The 10,232-nt window shown below is 45.0% G+C and overlaps 1 protein-coding gene and 1 pseudogene across 1 annotated transcript in view; both read right to left on the reverse strand.

Moving 5' to 3' along the window:
- Nucleotides 1-8,331, reverse strand: part of LOC105379417 (putative ankyrin repeat domain-containing protein 20A2) — a 39,693-nt gene extending 31,362 nt beyond the window's left edge. The window contains exons 1-2 of the mRNA XM_017030104.2: nucleotides 8,250-8,331; nucleotides 882-1,018 (exon numbers count right to left, since the gene is read on the reverse strand). Of these exons, the coding sequence (XP_016885593.1) occupies nucleotides 882-1,013 (132 nt within the window). The 5' untranslated portion in view covers nucleotides 1,014-1,018; nucleotides 8,250-8,331. The remainder of the gene's footprint in view (nucleotides 1-881; nucleotides 1,019-8,249) is intronic.
- LOC107987360 (translation initiation factor IF-2-like) lies at nucleotides 3,431-5,205 on the reverse strand (annotated as a pseudogene).
- Nucleotides 8,332-10,232: the final 1,901 nt, after the last annotated feature.

Raw genomic sequence — 10,232 nt, forward strand, 5'->3', positions numbered from 1 at the left:
TCACTATGTTGGCCAGGCTGGTCTTGAACTCCTGACCTTAGGTGAACTACCCACCTCGGCCTCCAAAAGTGCTAGGATTACAGGCATGAGCCGCTGTGCCCAGCCAAGAAGTTCCTCTTCTTACTTAGAAAACAGATCACAGGGCATCAAGTAACACGTAAAATCCTTTATAATAAGCAGTATTATTTTTGGAAAACCTTTCCTAATATTTTGGTATCAGCAAAAAGCCTCAGATTAATTTCATACACTATAAAAATACAATACATAAACAGAAAATATTAACTGTCAGCAATGCTATAGAGAAATTGGAAGCTGTATGCATTGCTTTTTGGAATGTAAAATGGTACAGCCCACTGTGGAAAATGGTTTAGCAGCTCCTTAAAAATATGAAAAATCAAAAATATGAATTATATGATCCATCAACACCCTTTAAGCGTATATACCCAAAAGAACTGAGAGCAGGGACTCAAACAGGTATTTGTACACCCGATTAACAGCAGCATTATTCACAGCGGCCAAAAGGTAGCCCAAACCTAATGCCCATCAGTAGGTGAATAGATAAAGAAAATGAAATATATACATACACAGAGTATTATTCAGCCATAAAAAGAAAAATATATGGCCAGATTCAGGGGCTTACCCCTGTAATCCCAGTATTTTGGGAGGCCAAGGTGGGCAGGTCTCTTGAGCCCCATATTTTGAGACCAGACTGGACAACATGGCACATTTGGTTAGAAGTGTTTGACCATAACTACTATTCCAGAAAAAGATCTACTCATTAGAACTACAAATCATAAAATTATAAGTTCTACAAAAACAAATCAACCTTATCTACCACCCAGTTCTACCCAATTATATCATGTTAGAACAGAAGGTCTCACCGTGGACTCGAGAGCTGATATGAGAAATGTCACCACCATCCTGCTCTCCACGGAATAATCTTCAACAGACTCCTCATCTTCCATGGACTCCTCATCTTCCATGGGCAGGGTGGAAACTGCAACTTGTGCCATGATCCCTGTGCAAAAAAGTAGTAAGAAATTGAAAGGTAGAAATGCAGGGTCCTAAACTCACATCCAGAGCTGTGAGAGTTTCTCACCGGCTGCCAAATTGTTTTTTGGGTCAGAGAAAAAAATAAAACTTGGTAACCTGGTACTCGACTTGCCCCAAACTCTCATCAGATAGAGAATCTATCCACTAACTTTCTATCTAGTATTATTTCCATGAAGTTACATCAATATCACTCCCAAAATAAATCCAGGTGGAAGACTAAATCCAAAGCTAGCAGAAGGAAAGAAATAATAAAGAGCATAATTAGAGCATAAATCAATAAAATAGAAGGTTGGAGAGCAGTAGAATGAAAAAATGTAGATTCTTTGAAAGATCAAGCCTTTCACTATATTGAATGAGCAAAAGATGGAAGACTAATTATTAAAATAATAAATGAAAGCAGAGCCATTACTACCAACTTTACAGAAATACAAAAGGATTATAGGAGTATACTGTGAACAACTGTCTAGCAACAAATTAGGTGCCCTGGATGAAATGGATGAATCGCTAGAAAGACACAAACTACCAAAGTGGCTCAAGAAGAAAGAGAAAATCTGAATAGACCTATAACCTAGGAGATTGAATTAGTAATCGAAAGCGATTAACAAAGAAACATTTATGACCAAATAGCTGCATTAACTGGTGAGTCAACCTAACATTTAAAGAAGAATTAATATCATTTCTTCTCAAACTCTTCTGACAAAATATATGAAGAAGGAATACTTGCTAATTCATTTTTTGATAACAGCATTATCCTTATACCAAAGACAAAGGGAGCACAAAAGAGAGAAATACAGCACTATATCCCTTATGAATATATAAGCAAAAATCTCAGCAAAATACTAGCAATACTAGCAAAATACTAGCAGCAATTCTGTATAATCAAAGGATTGTAAACTATCACCCTTTGAGATTTATCCACAAAATGCAAGGGTGGTTCAACATATAAAAAATCAATCAGTGTAATATGCTGTAACAGTAAAATGAATAAGCACGTGACTATTTCAATTGATGCAGAGAAAACATTGATGAAATACAACACCCTTCTATAATAAAAATACTCAATAAACTAGGCATAGAAGGGATCTTCTGCAACATGACAATGGGATGTACAAAAACCCAACAGTTAATATCATGATCAATGATGAAACACTGAAAGCTGTTTTCCTAACATCTAGAAGAAAAGGATGGTGCATTTGCCACTTGTATTCAACGTAGCACTGGCAGTTCTAGCCAGAGCAATTAGGTAAGACAAAGAAATAAAAGGCATCTAAATTAGAAATAAAGAATAGGTGTAAAATTATATCTACACATGATCTTATGGTTATAAAGCTCCAAACAAAACACAAAACCGATTATAACTAATAAAAGAGGCAGGATGCAAACAAACATAGGCAAATGAGCTATATTTCTATATAGTTGTAAAGAACTATGAAAACATTTTAAAAATTCCATTTATAATGACACCAAAGAATACGTTATTGAGGCATAAATCTAACCATGGTGGTATACACAAAACATTGCTGCAAAAAACTAAAGAGAGTGGAAATAAGTGGAAAGACATTCTGTGTTCACGGGTTGTAAGACAATATTGTTAAGATGACAATACCATCTAAAGTAATCTACAGATTCAATGCAATACCATCAAAATCCCAAAGGCATTTTTGCAGAAACAAAGAAACTCATTCTAAAATCATACAAAAATTCAAAGGATCTGACAGACAAAACAGTCTTGAAAAAGAACATTGGAAAACTCACATTTTTCAGTTTCACAGCCTACTACAAATCTACAGTAATCAAGAGAGTGTGGTACTGGAATAAGACCAATAGACTTTCAGACCAATACAACAGAACAGATTTGAGATCCTACAAGTTAGTCCTCACATATATGGTCAATGACTGTTCAACAAGGTGGCCAAGTCTAGTCAAGGGAGGAAAGAACAGTTTCTTCAACAGCTGGATATCAGTGCACAAGAGAGAAGTTAGACCCCTACATTGCAGTATATACAAAAATTAATTCTAAATTAATAAAAGACTTAAATGTAAGGACTAAAAATATGTAACTCTTAGAAGAAAACACACGGTAAACCTTTATGACCTTTGAGTTTTAAGTGTATTTTGAAATATGACAGAAAAGCACAGATAACAAAAGAAAATACACGAAAATTAGATTTAATCAAAATAAAAAACCCTTTATGCATCAAAGGATACTATCAAGGGAGTGAAAAGACAACCCATAATATGTGAGAAAATATGTATCTGATAAAATCAAAATGTGTATCTGATAAAAGCTTAATATCCCACAACTCAACAACAGAATTTCTAAGATCCCAATTAAAAAATAGGCAAAGGACTTGAACAGACGTTTCTCCAAAGAAGATACACAAATGTCTAAGAAGGAAAAGAAAAGATGCTAAACACCATTATTCATTAATAAAATGCAAGGCAAAACCCAAATGAGATGCCACTTTGCATCCACTAGTAAGGCTTTCATAACAACGACACAGAAAATCAATGTTGCTAAGGAGGTGGAGAAACTGGAGCCCTCATGAACTGGCTGCTAGGAATAGAAAATGATGCACTTGCTGTGGAAAACAGTTTGGTGGTTCCTCAAAGAATCACACAGAGAAACAGGCGTCGCTGGCTTGCGGGTTTTCCTGGGCTGGCGCGGGACGTCCCGGAATCGCAGGCGCGCATTCCTTCCCGCCTGAGGGCCCGCCTGGCCGTGACTCCCGCCCCTCTCCTCCTCCGAAGAGAGATCGGGGCCGCCCCAGGGTCCGTCTGCAGCCACCGGGGATGGGGCTGAGGGTCGGTTCCTGCCCCGGTGCAGCCACCCCTGGGAAGACCGCCTGGCTTGGTCGCAGCCACGGCGACATCTAGCCTCGGTTCTGCGAGGCTGGGCGTGGCAGCCAGCTTGGGAGTCGTCCGGCGCCTGTAGCTGGGTGCACAGGTGGTGGAGCATGCCCTGGGCCGCCTCTGGATCACAGGTGCCCCTGGCCTGAGAGCCTGCCAGACCCTGCCCCGGCCCGGCTCCTCCTCTGTCAGAGCTCCAGATCTCTATCCAGGGGCCCTCTACAGCCACCGGGAATGGGGCTGAGGGCCGGTTCCCGCCCCTGTGCAGCTGCTGCAGGAGAGACCGCCTGGCTTGGCCACAGCCACAGGGACATTTGGCCCTGCTTCCGAGATGTGGGGAGTGTGGGCGGGCTCGGGAGTTGCCTGGAGGCTGCTGCCTGCACGCAGAAGGCGGCTGCAGCTCGGGTGCCCAGGCGGGCTGGAGGTGCATGGCCTGGTCGGCCTTGGGATCGCCAGCGCGCCCAGCCTGAGGGCCCCCAGGCCGTGCCTCCCGCCCACTCCTCCACCTGAGGGAGATCGGAGCCGTTTGTATGGGCACTCGGCAGTCACCTCGTGTGGGGTTGAGCGGTGGGTTCTCAGTTCTCGCTCCTGTGCAGCTGCTGTCGCAGGGCAGAATGCCTGGCTTGGCTGCAGCCACTGGGACACGTGGCCCTGCTTCTGTGATGCTAGGAGCGCGAGCGGGCTCAGGGGTTGCCAGGCAGCTGCTGCCTGCACACAGAGGGCGACGGCAGCTTGGGCGCCCAGATGGCGGAGCATGGTTTGGGTGGCCTCTGGAATGCGTGCGCGCCAGGCCTGAGGGTCACCCTGGTGGGGCCACATACCCCGGTCTTCCTCTGCTGGAGCCTGGAGCAGCTGGAATGGCCACTATTCCGTCACAGGGGATAGAGTTAAGTTTTCTTATCCCACCCATGCACACAAAAAGGTGACTATTCTGTGAGGTAATAAACGTGTTAATTGACTTCATTCATGCCACTCTGCATCCACAAGTAAGGCTTTCATAACAATGACACAGAAAATAAATGTTGCTAAGGAGGTGGAGAAGTTGGAGTCCTCATGATCTGGCTGCTAGGAATAGAAAATGATGCCCTTGCTGCGGAAAACAATTTGGTTGTTCCTCACAGAATGAGCATTGGGTGAAAAATGAAATCAAGATGGAAATGTAAAAAATTTCTTCGAACTGGATGACACAACCTATCAAGACCTCTGGGATACAGCAAAGGCACTGCTAAGAGCAAAGTTTGTAGTCCTAAAAACCTACATCAAAAAGTCTGAAAGAGCACAAACAGACAATCTAAGTTCACATCTCAGGGAACTAGAGAAGCAGGAACAAGCCAAACCCAATCCCAGCAAACACAGGAAATAACAAAGATCAGAGCAGAACTAAATGAAATTGACACAACGACAACAACAACAACAACAAATACAAAACATAAATAAAACAAAAAGTTGCTTATTTGAAAAGATAAGTAAAATTGATAGATCATTAGCAAGATTAACCAAGAAAAGAAGAGAGAAAATCCAAATAACCTCACTAAGAAATGAAACGGGATATTACAACTAACACCACTGAAATATTAAAGATTATTCAAGGGTACTATGAACACCTTTTGGCACATAAACTACAAAACCTAGAAGAGTTGGATAAATTCCTGGAAAAATACAACTCTCCTAGCTTAAATCAGGAAGAATTAGATACCCCAAGCAGACCAATAAAGCAAGCAGCAAGATTGAAATGGTAATTTTAAAATTACCAGCAAAAAAAGCTGAGGGCCAGACAGATTCACAGCAGAATTCTACCAGACATTCAAAGAATGTCTTCTTTCATTCAAGGAAGAAATGATACCAATTTTTTCATACTATTCCACAAAACAGAGAAAGAAGAAACCCTCCCTTATTCATTCTATGAAGCCAGCATCACTCTAATACCAAAACCATGGAAGGACATAACCAAAAAAGAAAACTACAGACCAATATCCTTGATGAATGCAGATGCCAAAATCCTTAACAAAATACTATCTAACTGAATCCGACAACATATCAAAAAATAATCCAGCATGATCAAGTGGGTTTTATACCAATGATATAGGAGTGGTTTCACATATGCAAGTCAATAAGTGTGATACACCAAATAAACAGAATTAAAAAAATCTAATATAATTATATCAACAGGCGCAGAAAAAAACATTTGACAAAATCTAGCATTGCTTTATGATTAAAGCTCTCAGCAAAATAGGCATACAAGCGACATACCTTAATGTAATAAAAGCCATCTATGACAAACCCACAGCCAACATAATACTGAATGGGGAAACGGTGAAAGCATTCCCTTTGAGAACTGGAACAAGATGAGGAGCCTACTCTCACCACTCCTCTTCAACATAGTACTGGAAGTCCTAGCCAGAGCAATCAGACAAAAGAAGGAAATAGAGGAAATCCAAATCTGTAAAGAGGAAGTCAAACTGTCACTTGTTGCTGATGATATAATCTTTTGCCTAGAAAACCCTACGGACTCCTCTAGAAACCTCCTAGAACTGATAAAACAATTCAGCAAAGTTTCCAGATACAAGATTAATGGACACAAATCAGTAGCTCTTCCATACATCAACAGCTACCAAGCAGAGAATCACATCAAGAACTCAACCCCTTTTACAATAGCTGCGACAAACAACAACAACAAAAAAAACAAAACTTAGGAATATACCTAGCAAAGAAATCAAAGGACAGCTACAATGAAAATTACAAAACACTACTGAAAGAAATCATAGATGGAGCCAAGCACGGTGGCACATGCCTATAATCCGAGCTACTCGGGAAGCTGAGGCAGGAGAATCGCTTCAACCCGGGAGGCAGAAGTTGTAGTGAGCCGAGATCACACCATTGCACTCCCACCTCAGCGACAAGAGCGAAACTCCCTCTGGAAAAAAAAAAAAAAAAAAACGAAAGAAAAGAAATCATAGATGACACACACAAATGGAAACGCATCCCCATGCTCATGGATGGGTAGAACCAATATTGTGAAAATTACCATTCTGTTAAAGGCAATCTACAAATTCAATGCAATCCCCATCTGAATGCCACCATCATTCTTCACAGAATTACAAAAACAATTCTAAAATTAATATGGAACCAAAAAAGAGCCATGTAACCAAACCAAGCCTAAGCAAAAAGAACCTGGAGGTATCACACTACTTGATTTCAAACTGTACAATAAGGCCATAGTTACCAAAACACCAACGTACTGGTTTAAAAATAGGAACATAGACCAATGGAACAGAAGAGAGAACCCAGAAATTAACCCAAATACTTACAGCCAACTGATCTTCGACAAAGCAAACAAAAACATAAAGTGGGGAAAGGACCCCCTTTTCAACACATGCTGTTGGGATAATTGGCGAGCCACATGTAGGGGAATAAAAATGGATTCTCATCTCTCATCTTATACAAAAATCTACTCAAGATGGATTAAGAACTTAAATCTAATTCCTGAACTATAAAAATTCTAGAAGAGAACACTGGATAAACCCTTCTAGACATTGACATACGCAAGGATTTCATGACCAAGAACCCAAATGCAAATGCAATAAAAACAAAGATAAATAGCTGGGACTTAATTAAACTAAACAGCTTTTTCATGGCAAAGGGAACTGTCAGCAGAGTAAATGGACAACTCAAAGAGTGGGACCCCTGAAACTGACCCTGACCCCTGTCCCTGATCCTTAACCCCTGACCCTGACCCCTAACCCCTGACCCTAACCCTAACCCTTAACCGTAAACCCTAAGCCTAACCCCTAACCCCAACCCTCACCCTCACACTAATCCAACCCTAACCCCTTATCCCTAACCCCTAACCTCTCCTAACCTCTAACTCTAAACGTTGACTCTTAACTCTTAACTCTGACCCCAACCCCTATCTCCAACCCCTAACCCTAAACTTAACCCCTAACCCCTAACCCTAACACCAACCTTAACCCTAGGTTCGTTACTACGTTTGTACTATGTCAATGTTGATTATTATGATCTCTGTCTTAGGACTGCATGGCAGCAAGGGGATTGCGGATCTTATATTAATATTTTTGTATTGAGGCAGTGCATTAGCATTACAGGTGCTTGTTACATGAGCAATGGGGGTGTCATATTTTGGGTGTCATGTCTGCATTAGGAATGCTGCATTTGTCTTCCGAGGCTGCGGTGTGGATCTCGCACTGCGGCCGCCTCGGCTTGGCTGGGGAGAACCTCGGTGGGTAGGATTCAGAGGGGCTTTTGGCTTCCCTTTTCCACACTGAGCCCTTCTAACTGGTCTCTGACCCTGATTATTCAGGGCTGCAAAAGGGAAGGATTTTATTCACCGTCTATGCGGTCCCGAGTTGTCCCAAAGCGAGGCAGTGCCCCAAAGGTCTGTGCTGAGAACGCTGCTCTGCCTTAGCGGTGTCCCCCGGGTCTGTGCTGAGCTGAACGCAGCTCCGCCCTCGCAGTGCCCCCGGCCCGCCTGGGTCTGTGCTGAGGAGAACACTGCTCCGCCTTCGCTGTATCTCTGAAGTCTGTGCAGAGGAGAACTCAGCTCCGCCCTGGCGATGCTCTCCTTGTCTGTGCTGGGAAGAACGCAGCTCCGCCCTCGCAAAGGCGCACAGCGCCGGCGCAGGTGCAGAGAGGCCCACAGCGCTGGCGAAAGGCGCAGAGAGGCAGAAGGCCCATGAGGGGAAGGTGAGACACCTGGGGCAAAGAAGAAAAAAAAATGCGCCGCGAAGCGGTGTCTGGGTCATCCAGGGATGAAAGTTTTTTCCCATCAGCCCTTGCGCTGGGCCCCAGGGACCCTGGCATCCCTGGTTCACGCCCAGTGTGTGCCTCAGGCGACTAGGGGTACCCCAACTTGGACAGAAGGCCCATGAGTGGAAGTTGAAGTTTGTGGGAGGAGAGGTGAGGCACCAGGGGCAGAAAAAAAAAAAAGAGGACCGCGTCTCAGAGAAGCGGGACCTGGGTCCCCCACGGATGAAAGTGCCTTCCCATCAGGCCCTATGCTGGGCCTGGTGGACCCTGACGACCCTGGTTTGAGCCCAGGGTGTGCCTCGGGTCAGCTTGGGGTACCACAAAGCGAACAAAAGGTCCATGAGGGGAAGGTGAGGCACCTGAGGCAGAGAAAAAAAAACGCTCAGCCGAGAAGCAGTGCCTGGGCCCCCCACGGATGAAAGTGCCATCCCATCAGCCCCTTTGCTGGGCCCTGGGGACCCTGGCATCCCTGGTTTGACCATGGGGTATGCCTCAGGACAGTAGGGGTACCCCAAGGTGGGCAGAAAGCCCCTAAGGAGAAGGTGAGGCACCTGGGGCAGAGAAAAAAAGAAAAACTTCGCTGCGGAGAAGCACGGCCTGGGTGCCCCACAGACGAAAGTGTCTTCCCATCAGTCCCTGCACTGGGACCCAGGGACCCTGGTGTCCCTCGTTCGAGCTCAGGGTGTGCCTCGGCCGCCAAGTGCACCCCAAGGGGGGCTTTGGGGACACAAAGCCCGTGAGGGGAAGGTGAGTTTTGAGGGAGGAGAGGTGAGGCACCTGTCACAGAAAAAGTAAAAAAAGAAACCCGCGCCACGGAGAGGTGGGGTCTGGGTACCCCACGGATGAAAGTGTCTTCCCATCAGCCCCTGCACTGGGCCCCAGGGAACCTAGAGTCCCTGGTTCGAGCTCAGGGAGAGCCTCGGGCCACTAGGGGTACCCCAACGCGGTGGAAAGCCCATGAGAGGAAGGTGAGCTGTGAGGGTGGAGAGGTGAGGCACTTGTGGCAGAAAAGAAAAAGAAACCGCGCCACAGAGAAGTGGGGCCTGGGTCTCCCATGGAAAGAAAGTGGTTCCCATCAGTCCCTGAGCTGGGCCCTGTGGACCCAGGCGACCCTGGTTCTAGGCCTGGGTGCACCTCGGGCCAGCTAGGTGTACCCCAAAGAGGGCAGAAGTCCCTTGAGGGGAAGGTGAAGTTTGAGGGAAGAGAGGTGAGGCACCTGCGGCAGAAAAAAAAAAAAAAAAACGTGTGGAAGAGAAGCGGGGCCTGGGTCTCCCACGGACGAAAGTGCCTTCTCATCAGCCCCTGCACTGGGCCCCCTGGACTCTGGCGACCCTAGTTCAAGGACCAGAAGAGACTCTGGCATGCTAGGGTACCCTAAGGAAGCCAGAAAGCCCATGAGGGGAAGGAGAGATTTAAGGGAGGAGAGGTGAGTCACCTGTGGCAGAAAAAAATACATATATATATATATCAGCACCTCGGAGAAGCCGGGCCTGGGTCCCCACTGATGAAAGTGCCTTCCCATCAGCCCCTGCGCTAGCGCCGAGAACCTGGCGAACCTGATTGGA

The sequence above is a fragment of the Homo sapiens genome, unplaced genomic scaffold (genome assembly GCF_000001405.40).
Source record: "Homo sapiens unplaced genomic scaffold, GRCh38.p14 Primary Assembly HSCHRUN_RANDOM_CTG4".
NCBI lineage: Eukaryota > Metazoa > Chordata > Mammalia > Primates > Hominidae > Homo > Homo sapiens.